Source organism: Homo sapiens, chromosome 2 (assembly GCF_000001405.40).
Source record: "Homo sapiens chromosome 2, GRCh38.p14 Primary Assembly".
Taxonomy (NCBI): domain Eukaryota; kingdom Metazoa; phylum Chordata; class Mammalia; order Primates; family Hominidae; genus Homo; species Homo sapiens.
The window spans coordinates 84,720,047-84,737,538 of record NC_000002.12 but is presented as its reverse complement, the minus strand read 5'-3'; the positions used below and the strand labels follow the sequence as shown (position 1 = coordinate 84,737,538).

The window sequence follows — 17,492 nt, the reverse complement described above, 5'->3', positions numbered from 1 at the left end:
AAAAACAAAAATCCTGAACAGATTAATGATGAGTAATGAAGTTCAATCAGGAATAAAAACCTACCAACCAACCAACTAACGGAAAAAAAAGCCCTTTACAACCAAATTGTACCAGATGTACAAAGAAGAGCTGGTACCAATTCCACTGAAACTATTCCAAAAAATTGAGGAGGAGGGACTCCTCACTATCTCATTCTATGAAGTTAGCATCATCCTGATACAAATATCTGGCACAGACACAAAAAGAAAAGAAAACAAAGGCCAATATCCCTGATGAAAATAGACTCAAAAATCTTCAACAAAATACTAACAAACTGAATTCAGCAGCATATAAAAAAGTTAATTCATCATAATCAAGTGAGCCTTATTCTTGGGATGCAAGGATGATTCAACATATAGAAATCAATAAATGTGATTCACCTCATAAACAGGACTAAAATCAAAAACCATATGATCACCTCAATAGACGAGGAAAAGCATTTGATAAAATTCAACATCCCTTTATGATAAAAATCCTCAACAAACTAGGCATCAAAGGAATATACCTCAAAATAATGAGAGCCATCAATGACAAACCCACAGCCAACATTATACTGAAAGGACAATAGCTGGAAGCATTCCCCCATAAGAACTGGAACAAAACATAGATGTCTACTCTCACCACTCCTATTCAATATAGTACTGGAAGTCCTAGCCAAAGCAATCAGGCAGGAGAAAGAAATTTATCCAAACAGGAAAAGAGGAAGTCAAATGATCTCTCTTCACTAACAATATGATTCTGTCCCTAGAGAATCCTAAGGATTTGACTAAAAGACTCCTAGATCTGATAAATGACTTCAACAAAGTCTTATGATATAAAATGAATGTACAAAAATCAGTAGCATTTCTGTATACCAATAATGTTTAAGCTGAGAAACAAATAAAGAATGCAATCCCATTTAAAATAGCCACAAAAATATTGAGGAACACATCTAACCAAGGAAGTGAAAAATCTCTATAAGAGTAACTACAAAACATTGCCGAAAGAAAGGATGAAACAAACAAATGGAAAAACATCCCACACTTATGGGTTGGAAGAATCAATATCATTAAAATGACTATGCTATCCGAAGCAATCTACAGATTTAATGCTATTCCTATCAAATTACCAATGTCATTTTCCATAGAATTAGAAAAAACTATTCTAAAATTCATAGGAAACAAAAAATATGCCCAAACAGCCAAGGCAATCCTAGTAAAAAAGGACAAAGCCAGAGGCACCATGTTATTCAACATGTAAATATACTACAAGACTACAGTAACCAAACCAACATGGTACTGGTACAAAAGTAGACACATGGAACAGAATAGAGACCCCTGAAATAAAGCCACACACCTACAACCAACTGATCTTTGACAAAGTGAATAAAAATAATGTGGAAAGAATACTCTATTCAATAAATGAGCTGGGAAAACTGGCTAACCATATGCAGAAGAATGAAACTGGACCCCCTACTTCTTACCATATATAAAAATTAACTCAAGGTTGAAGAAAAACCTCAAACTATGAAAATCCTAGAAGAAAACTTAGGAAATACTCTTCTAGACATTGGCCTAGGCAAAGTATTTATGATGAAGAGTCCAAAAGCAAATGCAACAAAATAAAAAATAGACAAATGGGATTTAAACTAAAGAGCTTCTGCATAGCAAAATAAAATATCAACTGAGTGAACAGACAATGTACATAATGGGAGAATATATTTGCAAACTATGCATCTTACAAAGAACTAATATTCAGAATCTATAAAGAACTTAAATCAATAAAATGTAAATAAGCCCATTAAAAAGTGGGCAAAGAACATGAATAGACACTTCTCTAAAGAAGACATACTAACATGAAAAAATGCTCAACATGACTAATCATCAGAGAAATGCAAATCAAAACCACAATGAGATACCATCTTACACCAATCAGAAAGGCTATTATTAAAAAGTCAAAAAAATAGATTTTGGCAAGGTTGTGGAGAAAAGAGAATGCTTACATACTGTTGCTGAGAATACAAATTAGTTCAGCCTCTGTGAAAAGCAGTTTAGAAATTTCTCAAAAAGCTGAAAATAGAATTAACGTTTGACCCACAATCCCATTACTGGGTATATACCCAAAGGAAAAGAAATCATTCTACCAAAACACACCCGCACTCATGTTTATCGCAGCACTATTCACAACAGCAAATACATGGAATCAACCTAGGTGCCCATCAACAGTGAACTGGACAAAGAAAATGTGGTATATATACACATGGAATACTATGCAACCATAGAAAGAATGACATTACGTCCTTTACAGCAACATGCATACAGCTGGAGGCCATTGTCCTAAGTGAATTAACACAGAAACAGAAAACCAAATACTGTATGGTCTCACTTACAAGTGGGAGCTAAACATTGGGTACACACAGACATAAAGGAGGGAACAATAGACCCTGAGGACTCTGAAAGAGCAGATGGAGGGAGGCAGCAAGGGTTGAAAACCTGCTTATTGAGTACTATGTTCACTACCTGGGCAATGAGATCATTAGAAGCCCAAACTTCCCCAGCATGCAATATATCCATGTAACAAACCAGCACACGTACTCCCTGATTCAAAAATAAAATAAAAATAATAAAAAAGAAATATATTTAAGGCAAAAAGCATTATTCAGAGTAAAGAGTGATATTATTTAATAAAAAGGAACAATTACTAAGAACTTAACTGTAAACCTATTTTTATATACTGGCATAGTTTCACAAAGTATAATGGGAAAAATTCTAAAATTACAAAGGGAAATTGCCAATCATAGTGGTATACCTTAATATAGCTGTCTTAGAATCTGACAGATCCAGTATAAGAACATTAGTAAGGTAAATACCACAATTAGTAAGTTTGAGCTAAAGGTCACATATGGAACCTTGCATTCAAGAAATGACATGCATGGAATATTTTATATAAACAAAACATGCACCAGGCTGCAAAAGAAGTGTATATAATTCCAAAGAGTCAATTTCATGAAAACCATGAGTATAATTTCCAGAATGTAATTAAATTATAAATAAGAAAAAGATGGTCCCCTAAATCCTAAAATGGTTTTGAACTAAAAAGTGTAGTTTTTCCCAGCACTTTGGGAGGCCGAGGCAGGCGGATCATGAGGTCAGGAGATCGAGACCATCCTGGCTAACACGGTGAAACCCCATCTCTACTAAAAATACAAAAAATTAGCCGGGTGTGGTGGTGGGCGCCTGAAGTCCCAGCTACTAGGGAGGCTGAGGCCAGAGAATGAACCCGGGAGGCGGAGCTTGCAGTGAGCTGAGATCGCCACTGCACTCCAGCCTGGGCGACAGAACAAGACTCCGTCTCAAAAAAAAAAAAAAAAAAAGTGTAGTTTTAGAATTGAAAGGGCTATATATTAAGACTTGCAGGGAAAAATGAATACAGAATGTTATAATTCAGAGTAGTCGTTACCTCTGAGGAAGAGAGAAGCGAGAGAGAATAAGGGGATTCTGGGATGCTGGTACTGTTCTATTTCTTGATCTTGGTGATGGCTCATAAATAAATCTACACAGTTTGTGATAGCTAATCAAACTATAATTTTGATTTGTCCATTTTTCTGGATTTATGTTATCCTTCAATAAAAAGTAAAAAAAAAAACCTATGGGATACAGCTAAAGCAATACACAAATGTATATTTACATTCTCAAATATATACATAAAATATATGGTGTGTGTATACATATATATAAAGTAAACATGAAATATTAAAAATTCATGGGCCAAGCATTCGACTCAAGAAATTGTGAAAACAAATAATTTACAGTTTCTTAGAAATGAAGGAAGTTCCTAGTGAAAAATGCTGACATTACAGAAGAGGTTAAAGAAAACATTAAGATTAGGATTCAAGAGCCTGTTTATAAGCCTCCTCAGCAGGTTCTTTTTGTCACATTACCTAAGCGTATGGAAATAGGATGTGACAATATATTTTGGGTAAGTCCGTGAAAAACTGGAAATGATTCTTCCAAGTCACAGCATGCGAACCATGTAGCAGTAGGTAGCCAGGGAGCTTCAGGCTTAGGTGGGCGTTCCTGTTTGAAGACAGAAAATGAATAATAATTCACAAAGGCAATCACAAAATATACTTTCACTTTGTCCAAGTGAAAAATCAAGCTCTAATAGTATGTTAAAATAACCATTTTCCTAGGACAAGTAGTACAATATGGTGAAATAGAAATGGTGTTGAATCAATTCTAATTGTGGACCTTTGCACAGAAGTACAGCTGCTAAAAACTTTTCAGATTGACATTTACAGAAAACAAAGTGGATCAATTAAATCTGCTACTTTCAGCCTGTTTTCCAACACCCAACATCGATCTTTCCCCACTTGCCAAATATTCCTAAGGTTAATAATTTTTCTCTAGAGAACTAGTCTCCCAATCAGATTCCCAGATGTTCTCACCCCTAGAAGATACAGAAAGCTGAGTATGGAGCAGTATCAGTAGCAAGACAAATGGCAACCTTATTCTAGCTGTGGTAAGAGTTTGTCTAATTATTTTAGATACTCTTAGAAACTTCTGGGAGAAGTGTTATGCCATCTGGCAATATTCCATGAAGCACTTACATGTGGGCAAACAGTTTTAAAAGAGACAGAAAAATAGCTGTGATTGTAAGACTGAAACTAGTTCTTCAAAATTTCCTGAATATTTGCCTGAGGTTCCTTACTATAATTAAAAGCAGGTTTATTGAGATACAATTTATATGCTAAGCAATTCATTCATTTGAAGTATATAATCTAATGATTTCAGTATATTCACAGATATGTACAACCACCATCACAATTTAGAACATTTAATTTCCTCAAAAAGATACCGTGTACCCCTTAGCTATTACTCCCCTTTAATCCCATCCCTTGAGCCCTAAGCAACTGCTAAACTACTTACTGTCTCTATATATTTGCCCATTATGGACACTTCATGGAAATCAAATTATATAATATGTGGGCTTTTGTGACGGACGTCTTAGCTTAGTGTTTTCAAGGTTCATCCATGTTGTAGCATGTATCAGTACTTCATTCTTTCTTATGGTTGAATAATATTCCATTGTATAAATATACCACATTTTATTTATCTATCAGTTGATGGACTTTTGGGCTGTTTCCACCTTTTGACTAGTATAAACAATGCTGTTATGAATATTTGTGTCCAGCTTTTTGTGCAGACATACGTTTAACCAGTAAGTATAATGGAAATATTCCAAAAACTGAAAAAACTCCAGATCTGAAACACTTCTGGGCCCAGGCGTCTTGAATAAGGAATCTTATTCAATCTGTAATGTATTGTAGCAACTCTGAGCATGCACCCTTTCCCCAAAGGTTTCTTATTGTCACTTGCTTATTTGTTTAACAACTGACTGGATTATTTTAGTGGAGGCTCCCCACACCCCCTGCACAGCATTAAGTCTCTAATGTTGCTCCTCAAGGGGTGCAGCCTTAGGAATGCTCACAGTTACCCTGGGATGATCATAGCTTTTTCAGGGCTCTTTTTGATAGTTTCTTTCCCTGACTGCATCTAGCTGTTAAGCACCACTAATTGTGGGCTGATTGCTCTAATGTTTTTAACAATGCTCTTGGGGATATAAATTTCTCCTCAGACTAAAACATTCAAATTTGGGCCCCTTTGAAGGAGTTGCTGGAGTCAGTGTTTGGGTTTCCTTCTGGTCTTTGGCAGGCTTCAGTGTCTTCTCCTAAGTTATCTCTGGCAAACCAGCTGGCTTATAATGTTGTGTCTCTGTCCAGTAATTCCATCAACCTCCTTTCAATTGCTTTTCACTACAAACTTTATTGTTTTAGACAGCATCATTAGGCTTAAACTTTTCCATACTGTGTTGGAAATGAAGTCAGTTACTCTGTGAGGAGATAAGGAACTATCTGTTTTATAGGTTGCTTCTCCCACTCAGGAAAAACCTCCAAGCCAGGGGCATGACAATGTTGCACTTTTCGCAGGGGCATATTCCAGTTCTAGGAGCTGAGTACGCCATGGATGGGAAGAGAGTAGCTTCAGGTCTCCTCAGCTTGCCTCTGCCATTGAGGAATTACTATCTTAGGAGCTGGGACAACAGTGATGCTGCACCAAACGTGGAGCCTCAGTCTCCTCAGTGGAGGCTGGGTGGAAGAAGGCAGCCCCACCTTTTGGCTACACTCAACTGGGACTTATCTTCAGCAGTAGGTAGCTGTGGGCAGGATGAGAAATGCTGCTGTCTTGTCCTTTCCAGGAATATGGCCCTTTAACTGGCAGTGGGGAGTAGGCAGGAGCCCTGTGCTCTTAGCTGCATCAGTCTTGAGTGCAGTTCCTATCTCACTAAGCTGGGAGCAGGAAGGGAGGGAGTGGGTCTAGGTTCAAAGACCACAAGATTTGCTGTCCTTACTGAACCTCTAGTAAATTTTCTCAAATAAATGTTTATTCATTTGCTATATGTGCCTGGGACCATTTCCAGATGCTTTAAATGATCCTTATATAATTTTCAACAGTTTTGCTGGGGAGCCAGTATGCGAAGATCCTCACACTGTCATGCTGGAAGTGGCATTTCCCTGTGTTACATCTTGATCCTAGATAAATCCCTCAAAGACTCTTAGATTAGTTAACGTTCATAGGCATTTATAAATATCTAATAAACAATTCTGAGTGGTTTTGCTGTATTTTGATCTCTAATAATAATGTGTAAAACAAATCACTGGTCTGCGCAAATTTTAATGAATTTTCCAGGAAATAGATTTCATGTAAAGTTTTCTGATTATGCTATTATTATGTACTAGCATCATTTTTTGGATTCCTAGCATTAAGAGAAAATGCTTTAAAAAAAGCTTGTCCAACCCATGGCCCACAGGCCACATGCAGCCTAGGACGGTTTTGAATGTGGCCCAACACAAATTCGTAAACTTTCTTAAAACATTATGAGATTTTTTTTTTGAGATTTTTTTTTTAAGCTCATCAGCTGTCATTAGTGTTAGTGTATTTTGAGTGTGGCCCAAGACAAGTCTTCTTCCAATGTGGCCCAGGGAAGCCAAAAGATGGGACACCCCTGTTTAAAATATCATCATTTAAAAACATTAGTTGTATGGACTGAATATACCCAATGAGAATAGCCTGGAGACCTCAATTTGCAGAAATCCATTTACCTTGTCCACATGTAATAGAAACCTGCAGATGCTTGAGGCTTTGTGTATTGGTTCCAGTTGTTTTCTGTTTGTCCCTAAACTCTAACTGTTGTGGTTCAATCCTGGAAATGCCTACTTCTGCTCACACCAGCCAGTCTCCAGCTGCAGATCCCAGCATCTCTGCCCACCTTTTGTTGTTGTTGCCACCTTCTAGAAATCTGTGTTTTGCTTATCTGGATTTTCTTTATCTAGTGCATCCAGTCAACTCCAGATTCCATCGGGCATGTATCTCCTTCCTCTCTCTCCTCCCATCCTGGACACTCATCTTTTATTCTTTCTAGGTCTCTTCCAGGGCCCTTTTGCTGCACCATTTCCTTGCATAATGACACAATCTTGTCATAGGTGTTTGGAACTCACTGCACATTTTTCCACAGAAAAAGTTTTATGCATGGAAGTTGGCTTCTGAGGTTATTCCAGAAAATTTAATTTAGATCATAATGAATGTAGCAAAAAACAATGTAGTACTTACGATAAAAATAGAAAATACTAGTGTCAAAATATTAAATGAAGTGACCATATAAAATACACCCCAAATACATTTCTAAAAAAATTATTAGTCAAGAATCATTCCAATTTCCTCATGACAGAGGAAAAGACAGTTTAATTAAAAATAATTCAGAGAGGTTTCTGATGATGGTAATTTTAAATTTTGAGTTTGATGGTATTTAAAACATATTTTAAACTTTTCAAGATATGCTGTTCATGAGAAGTAGGTGGTGCTGGAATGGACATGGGCTTTGGGAGCTTAGAACACAGGTTTGAATCAGACTGTGTTATGCATTATTGTGATTTTGGAAAGCTCTTTAACCTCTTTGAGTTTCTGTTGAGAAAACTGTAAGCAGAGCTGTTGATAAGGCTGCAGTGAGGAAGGAAGGGCGAAAACACACAGGGCAGGGCCTGGCTAAGTGATTGGCTAACAGTCAGCAGCAGAGTGAACTGGTTAAGAGAGCAGGCTTTACAGACTGCAAGTGTTCAAATCCCGGTTCCAGGTCCTGTTAAGTGTGTTATCAGGACAAGTTACTTAACCTTTCTGTGCCTAACTATCTTATCATAGACTAGAGATACAAATTAGGAACTTACCTAAGAAGAATACTGAGAGGAATAAGGGAGTTGATATATATAAAACACATAGCAAGCTCTCTGTAAATATGAACTGTGATTACGAGGATAAAACACATTAAGAGAGGAGTCACAGAATATGTGTGTATGCAAGATGGATGGGGGTCAGGGAGGAAGGAACATCTGGTGGAGAGATCTTGTCTCGGCTTTTTCTGGGAACATGGGGTGCTGAGAGTCAAATAAAAGCATCAGGTTCAACCTCCTAGTGATACACTGGGGTTCAAATACTGGCAAACAGGTGCAGATGTCACTTCTGCAGGGGCCAAGGACAGGACTTGAGATTTGCAGAGTTGGACAGAGCCAAGAATTTAGAGTGGAGCAGAGATCAAATTGTAGGCAAGGTTTGGGGGCTCACCTCTGTGGGCCACTAGCTTTGTGGTATGTGTGTGGGTTAAGCCAGTTTAAGGGACTAGAGCAAGCAGGACAAGCAGATGAACATGAAGGAGGGAACTGTAGCAGAACTCGTATTACAGTATTACAGAAGGCGACAATCAAGTCATTTTGTCACTTCCCATGCTTTATAATGAGATACATCTCCAGGCAAGAGAGGGTCATGGTTTTTTAAAAAAAACTATTGCTAAATCTGTGAATTACAACTTTTATTGGATTTTAACTCTTTACATTTGTAAGAGGTTCAGCTTTGCAAAACATGTTCACTTCTACTAGCTTATTGGTTACTCCCAACATTCCTTTTCTATAGGTGAGGATAGTACACCATACAGAGGTTAAATGATACATTACACAGTTAGTTGGAGGCAGAGCTGAGTTATAACATGGGCCTCCTGACCTCAATACCCCTCCACTGGGCAACACAGCAAAATGTATGGCCTTCGGCCACCAGAGTCACCACAGAGCACTGGTAGGTGCTTGTGGGCTCTATCTAGAATAACGATCATAGTATTATTCTGTTTTCATGCTGCTGATGAAGACATAGCTGAGACTGGGTAATTTATAAAGAAAAAGAGGTTTAATGGAACTCACATGGAACTCACAGTTCCATGCAGCTAGGGAGGCCTCACAATCATGGCAGAAGGCAAAAGGCACATCTTACATGGCAGCAGGCAAGTGAGAATGAAAACGAAGTGAAAAGGGTTTCCCCTTATAAAACCATCAGGTCTCATGAGACTTATTCACTACCACGAGAACAGTATGGGGGAAACTGCCCCCGTGATTCAGTAATCTCCCACCAGGTCCATCCTACAGCACATGGGAATTATGGTAGCTACAATTCAAAATGAGATTTGGGTGGGGACACAGCCAAACCATATCAATCATCACCTAAATGGGAATCAGGTACCTTTTCCAATCCTGCAGAACCTCGGAGAAAGAAATTCCATTCAGCATCAGATAGGGTTCCTTGCTGACGCATCATCTCAACACAAAGCATAAAGCTGTAGATGAGTTTATGTTGCTCAAAAAGTCCTCTTGAAACATTGACATAAGCAGTTAGGAGAGTTTGTTCTAGTAGTACGTCCAGGCGCTGTTGTAGATTTTCTGTCTTTACAGAAGTTTCAATGGTGGTATTGAACAACTGTGTGAAAGAGAGCTCTATCAATGTCTCTGATTTAATTCATTCTCTGCAGAGAACAAAAAATCTGTCTCCCTTGTTCGCATTCAGTGAGTAAATGGCAGCATGGGAGATGAATACAGTAAGTCCTCAATGTGCCCAATAGGTTCTTGGAAACTGAGACTTTAAGTGAAATGATGCACAGCAGGTCTTTGAATTATGAACAATCTTGCATTCAAAGTCATTTTGCTATTACATTGATGAGACCAAAAAAATTGGTTTCATTATATGTCATTTTGCTAAACAAAGTCACAGTTTCCAAGAACCTATCCACAACATTGAGGACTTACTGTACTATGAAAAAGTCTAGAATTCATCCCAAAGTGATATGTGATATTTGTTTTCTACACTCCCCTTTCTCTCCTATTTTTAAGAAATGGACCAACACCAAGCTCTTGACAATATTCAAGAGGCATCATCTTGATGTGAGACATGAAACTCTGGAAAACAGAGGTGAGCTAGCAGGACCAGTTTTTTCACATCTTCAACCCAGATTTGATAAACTCTGCATTTTGGGGTGAGAGATGTAAGAGCAAGGTAAGCTCATGCTTATTTCTTAGCACTTCCCCAAGATAATTTTTAGGGTGTAGAAGTAATGTGCTAGAATTTTCCTGGAAATTTAAGAGAAACTGATTTTTGTGATTTTAAAGGAGATTTCTACCTTGTTTCCTACCTGGAAATTTTGAAAGGAGAATCACTACCACAAAGGTGCCCCATATTATAAAGATACTGGGAAGGCAGTAGAGATGGTGGCATTGAGGGATTAGGCCTGAGGTAGTCCTACCCATTTTCTGCAACTTTTAAGTGGAGTGGAAGGAAGATCAAAAAATTTATTTTTTATTTTATTTTTTTTATTATTATTATACTTTAAGTTTTAGGGTACATGTGCACAATGTGCAGGTTTGTTACATATGTATACATGTGCCATGTTGGTGTGCTGCACCCATTAACTTGTCATTTAGCATTAGGTATATCTCCTAATGCTATCCCTCCCCACTTCCCCCAGTCCCGGAGTGTGATGTTCCCCTTCCTGTGTCCATGTGTTCTCATTGTTCAATTCCCACCTATGAGTGAGAACATGCAGTGTTTGGTTTTTTGTCCTTGTGATAGTTTGCTGAGAATGATGGTTTCCAGTTTCATCCATGTAGGAAGATCAAAAAATTTCTAAAGGTCCCAAGCTGCGTGAGGAAGCTGAGCAGAGCCTGAATGTGTGGCCTTCCATGGAAGTCACGGGGCAAGGAGGGATCTTGCAGCAGAGACTCAGGGGAAGTCCCACCAGGGCCCTGAGGGGCATGTGTTTGCAGTCTCAGGATCCACAGCCTGAGGGGCAAAGGTGGGAGGTGAGGTAGTACCTGCCCAATCCCTGGGATCAAGATATATTGTTCATGGTGAGGGCAGACCAATCAAAACAGACTGGCAGCTAGAAGCCCACTAAGGACCAAAGCAGATCAGGGTCAAGAAGCATCCTCCACTCCTCCCTAGAAATACTGTGCGGAGGCTGTGCAGGCCTTTCCTACCCACCTCTTCTACTAATAGGATGGAGCGCAAAGGTAAAGGGGCCTGATTGTGTCAGTCTCCTCACCAAAATAGGTCTCCATTCCCCCAAGTTAAAAGGGCTTAGAGGAAGCCTACAATTATTTCAGGAAATTGGGAAAGTCTTTGTTGATTCTCCTGAAAGTTTTGTTGACAAAGGTAATAGAGTTTTGTTTTAACACACTCAGGAGAAAAGAGGACTCAGCCCTCTTTAACAACCTGACAAGAACCATAGAGGTTAAAGCCCAGTGAATATGTGATAATATGGTACCAAAATAAAACTGGTAAATCTCAAAATTCTCTAAAGAATTTCACTGTGAAATGGGTTTGGTAGAGGGTATCCTGGCCAAGGCTGTCACCTACAAATATGTTTTGGATTTCTGGTTTCCCTTCTAATCTGTAAAACTCCAGAGCTTTCATGATTCATCCTATATCACTTTTACTTTCAGCCCAAGATATTTTAGGGCCTTTTCACTTTTATTTCTTGAAGGAGATTTTAAAAACTTGAAGAGCATAAATTCCAAAACACCCAAGATAAGAAAAGTATTAACAAAAAGTCATTTAGGTGGCATTACAGGATTTGGTAATCCTTATTTTGCTTGGGTTAATACCTGTCAACTGAAGGAAGGGAGCAGAGATATAAGAACCCAAACCCTTGCCTCTAGGAATTGAGGTTTGAACCCAGCACAGATGGCTTTCAAAGGCTGCTAAAATGAACATCTTGTTGAAAGACAACCCAGGCCTATCTAAACAACTTGACTCCCATTTCTTTCAATTCCTCATTTCCATTCTTTCCTGGAAATAGAAACTGTTCCTGGACCTCCAACCATTATCGAGGGTACTAAATAAGACCTCTAGAGGAAAAATCAAGCTGTCATAAGAATTGTTTGACTATCTGAAGTTCAATAAGAATTGTTGGAATGTTATATGCAGAGATCAAAACAGACTCTTCATTCATGAAACACTCGAGCATTATGTGGTGCTAAGCACCATTGGGGATATGGGATTGGTGAGGCTTCATTTTTGCCTCCTGGGAGTTCAGGCTCCAGCAGGAGAGAGAAGCCAACCACCCAAGACAACGTGGGGTAACATTATGCCAGATGAAGCATATCAAATATTTTGGATAAAGACTGCTGAACCTGTTTGCTACTACTCCCATTGAGAGGTGGAGTCTAAATCCCCTTCTCTCAAACCTGGACTATCCTAGTGATTTGATTGACCAACAGACTGTAGCCGAATTGATGGTGCATGAAATCCAAGGTTAGGTCAGAAGAAGTCCTGGAGCTTCCATCTTGGTTTCTTTGAACGTTTACTTTGGGGAGAGGCCCTCTTGGAACCCAGTTGCCCTGTAGTGAGAAGCCCACGCCACAAGGAGAGGCCATGGCAGGTGCCATGAGTGACAGCCCAGCCATGTGAGTCAGCCATTTTGGATGTTCATTCCAGTCAGCCTCTAGATGTTTGCAGTCCCAGCAGCAGGCTTTGCTGGAGAATTTAGGAGAATTTAGAATGCAGTCCCAGCAGCATTTAGGTTGGGAGGAAGGCCATTTTAAACAGAGGGAGTGTCAGAAACACAAAAGCATCCAGTTAGTCTTGGGAATGTAAGTGGATCAATTTGGCTGTTGCACAGGAGTTGAGAGAAATGTGACTGGAGAGATGAAACAGGGACAGGCTGGATTTGGCTTTGAATTCCAGGCTATAGAGTATGAATTGTGTTGATGGGCAATATCTGTGAAAATTCATTTAGGACCTAGGTCTGTGGAACAGTGTTTTGAAAACACTAGGACTAGGCTGGCCTGGCTTCCAGGTGTGTGAGCCAGCATTGACTATACAGGGGCATATAACAGGAAATAGAGATGTGTTGCAGGGAAAAAGTGTTATGTTTACAATTCTCCACTGTTTTCTACTGAGTGGCATGTATGGAGGGAGAGGCCTTCGTTGGCTGAGTTGTGTCATGGGTAGGGTATAAGCATGGATGAACAGAAAAGTGAGAGTAAGTTAAACTGCTCTGCCCAGAAAAGGAGACAGCACTGCCAACAGGAAGTAGGAGCTGATGGGAAGACTGAGCCAGGGAGGCTTTGGTCGGGTGGGCTGAGAAGAGGCCACTGGCACCTGAGAGAACCTCTGATGCAGATGCTTGGTAGTCTTGCTGTATAGTGAGTAATGCAAACTCTCTGTCTTCCCTGGAAGTCTTTAGCAAAATTGGCATTGCCTGCTGAAGCTTTGTGGCATTGAATTTGCTTTTGAGAAAAAATGAATGCTGCTACAAAGAGGATAAGGGGTGAAAACATCCTACTCATGAGACAGCAGATGAAATTCAACTGTGAATATGAGATAAAGAAGAGAGGCTGAAATAAAACAAGAGAGTCTCATAGTCACATGGTGAAAGTGGGACAGAAACAAAGGAAAGAGATCCCTCTAAGTCAGAAGTGGGCGCAGGGAAGGAAGAACAGGTTGTTGCATAAAAGGTTTGGGAAATAAAAGATACATAAACCAATTTGGTTAAGGTCAGTGCTGTTTGGACTTGAGATACAACAGAAAACACTAATAGTGGAAAGGAATCTAGATTACTGCAGAGGATGTCTAAAGAAATGGGACTCAGCTGTGACTCTTAAAAAAGAGAGAAGGGCAGGCATGAAGGAAAACAAACATGCTAGCTAGTTGAGGAAGTCAGGAGCAAATGAAACTTGCAAAGGAGCTTTCTTCTCTTCCTCTACAGAGTGTTCTGTGCATACTGGGCAATCAAATCTTTAAAAAAAATTCAAATTTTATATATACCTTTTATATATATATATAATAATCACTAACTCTACTCTAAAAACTGCATCTTTGGAAGGGCTGGTGAAACCACTCTTTTTTATTTTTTATTTTTTTTGAGACAGAGTCTCGCTCTGTCGCCCAGGCTGGAGTGCAGTGGCACGATCTTGGCTCATTGAAACATCCACCTCCTGGGTTTAAGCAATTCTCCTGCCCCAGCCTCCCGAGTAGCTGGGATTACAGGCACCTGCCACCACGCCTGGCTAATTTTTGTATTTTTAGTAGAGATGGGGTTTCTCCATGTTGGCCAGGGTGGTCTTGAACTCCTGACCTCAGGTGATCCACCCACCTCGGCCTCCCAAAGTGCTGGGATTACAGGTGTGAGCCACCATGCCTGGCTGGAACCACTCTTGAACCTTGCATGCACCTGGGAGATTTTACCTGATAACTAGACTTATGGCTTATGTGAAGCAAGAAGTAATTCAACAGGTGTAATGGAGGCCAAAGAGATGACTGTCATTAACAACATGAACACACTTACCTGTTTAAAGTATTTTAATGAGTACTGGTACATAGGATCTATTTCTGAGAGGCTTGCAATGACAAAGTACATTACAGAGCCTTGAGTGGCCACTGGACGATACTTCTCACGAGCCACATTGATCATCTGCTCAGTGGACTCTGCTTCTTCCAGCCTGGTTTTAATGGCACCAGAAGTGATCTGAATAAACATACAATAACAAGTTCTTAGGGATCTGTTCCAGAAAAATAGTGGGACTTCTGGAATGTATCCAGTTAGGTCTAGGGAAGAAATAAGGATAGAATGAGTTGGTGATTATAATAAGGGGTCCCCAGGTGGAACGACTGAGTCTCAGGGCTCAGTGACCTTCTGAATAAGCTGACCTTTCTTCCTTCCAGAGTTAGGAATAGGCAGAGGGCAGCAGGCAATACAAGTAGCTTTGAAAACATAGAAGCAGCATGTCTCTGAGACTCAATCTGAATTACTCCTGCAATGCAAACACCATCACAGCACTCCTAATTGCTCCCGAACTTCTTTGTGAGCAGTCCAGGGCAAGCACAATGAATAAAGGAATGAAAGGAGAAGGGATACCCAGGAAGATGCCCAAAAGAAGGGAGTAGAGAGTGGCTGGGAGGCAGTGGCACCACATCCCTCCCTGGAATAACAAGGGTGACTAATATTCTTGTTCTTTACCTAGTATTCCCAGGTATAGACATATGGGATAGAAGCTGTTGTTTGTGGAGGATTATAACCCCAAATGAGTTAGCGATGCTTTCAAGGTCTTTTGGTTTTCTGCATTTTGGGTTTGTGGGTCTGGGGAGCCCTCTGGCCAATGGGCCTTCCAAGATTCCCTTCTCTATGTCTCTCAGTCTCTCTCTTTCTACTGCTGTCTGCCCCTGCCTCCTCTCTCTTCCCCCACTGTTTTTCAGAGGTGGATATCCCTGGGTTGGGAAATCCTTTTCTCTCTAGAAAGTCAAAGGGTCTAGAGCAGGGACCATGAAAAATCACCAAGGGAACTGACTGCTCAGTATTTGCTCCATCAAAGCTAAAAGGAATCATCAAGTTCCTGTATAGACCAGTGCTTTCCAATGGAAATATAATGTGAGCCACATAAATAATCATACATTTTCTAAATTTATTAAAGATAAAAAGAAATTTTAATAGTATATTTTTAATCTACCCAAAATATTATATCAACATATAATCCACATAAAAGTTACTGAGATATTTTGTTTCTTTGGATTTAGCCCTTGAAATCTGTTGTGTATTTTACACTACCAATACATCTTAATTCAGGCTAGCCATATTTGAAGTGCTCAACAGCCACCTATGGCTAGTGGCTACCTACCATAATAAAGAGTATAAGTCTAGACTATTTACCCCAGCCCACCAGGAAAGGGAGGGGAAGGATTCAGTGCAGAAGCTGTTTCCAGGAATCAGAGATCAAACTCTCCCTGTAATAACCCCTTAGGGAGCTGAAGGGGAAATAAAGGGCAGAGTTGAGTAGGAAACCCCTATGTTAATATGGGACTCAACTAAAGCTTTCAAATCCAAGTAGAAAAAAAAAGTTGATATGGGATCAGTTGGTGGATCATGTAGGCCCACTAACAAATAATTCTTTATGTCTTAGGGAGCACAAGGCACTGATAATGTAGAAACCAGGGCTAAAGAGAAGGAAAGTGGATTGTTTTCATCTCCTTGCCAAAGAATATTAGAATACTATATGCTTCCGTTGAGTTTGGCAACTACTTGTAGACATTATGCCCTACAGGCTTGAGGTTTCAGCCGCGTTTAGAGAATATGAGACATATTTTTATGTAAGGATTCTAAGAGCTGAGAGGAGTATAAACTGTAGCCAAGAAGTGGCAGGAAACACAGCCAAGGATCAGTTTGATCCCTGCTGTATAGAAAGGATGACTCCAAAGCAACTCCTTGCAAAACAAATAAACCAGCTTATAGATAAAGATGGCAGTCATCACATGTGTATCTACCTTCACTTCCTACTGAAACTACAATAAAATTGTAGGAAAAGGCTTAAAAATGCAGAGTAAACCAATAAAGATAGGAAGAATGGGCGAGGAAATATCAACGAATTTTGGGAGCTCGAAAGCAGACAGAAGGGTGGCAATGACTTAGCAGACCCAGAAAAATGGATTCCTACACTGGCAAAAGTGGATAGCCACGAACTCACCCGATTTATAAAAATAATCCTCCTCAAAGGCTTAAGAATTAGTAGCAAGAAGCACTCGGCCGGGCGCGGTGGCTCACGCCTGTAATCCCAGCACTTTGGGAGGCCGAGGCGGGCGGATCACGAGGTCAGGAGATCAAGACCATCCCAGCTAAAACGGTGAAACCCCGTCTCTACTAAAAATACAAAAAATTAGCCGGGCGTAGTGGCGGGCGCCTGTAGTCCCAGCTACTTGGGAGGCTGAGGCAGGAGAATGGCGTGAACCCGGGAGGCGGAGCTTGCAGTGAGCCGAGATCCCGCCACTGCACTCCAGCCTGGGCGACAGAGCGAGACTCTGTCTCAAAAAAAAAAAAAAAAAAAAAAAAAAAAAGAAGCACTCTTGGAAGTGGGAAGGGCTTAAAATAAGAATTGGTTGTAAGAGGACCCCCTAGGTCATCTTCCCACACCACCCATGGCCAGGGGTTTGTCCCTTTCTCACCCTGGCAGAAAAAATAGAAATTTCCTTTGGAGAAAGTAAAAGAGAGGGTTTTCTGATGGAAGGAAGGAACTAAAACAGAGTGACTGGGTGACTGCAGACTGGATGCTGAGACC

General features: G+C 40.0%; 1 protein-coding gene across 12 annotated transcripts in view; it reads right to left on the bottom strand.

Annotated features, from left to right (window-relative positions):
• Positions 1-17,492, bottom strand: part of DNAH6 (dynein axonemal heavy chain 6) — a 360,018-nt gene that overhangs the window by 82,051 nt on the left and 260,475 nt on the right. For all 12 annotated transcript variants that reach the window (XM_011532650.4, XM_011532649.3, XM_006711956.3 and 9 more), the window contains 3 exons: positions 14,735-14,914; positions 9,637-9,870; positions 3,960-4,095 (listed from right to left, as the gene is read on the bottom strand). In XM_011532650.4, the coding sequence (XP_011530952.1) occupies positions 3,960-4,095; positions 9,637-9,870; positions 14,735-14,914 (550 nt within the window). The remainder of the gene's footprint in view (positions 1-3,959; positions 4,096-9,636; positions 9,871-14,734; positions 14,915-17,492) is intronic.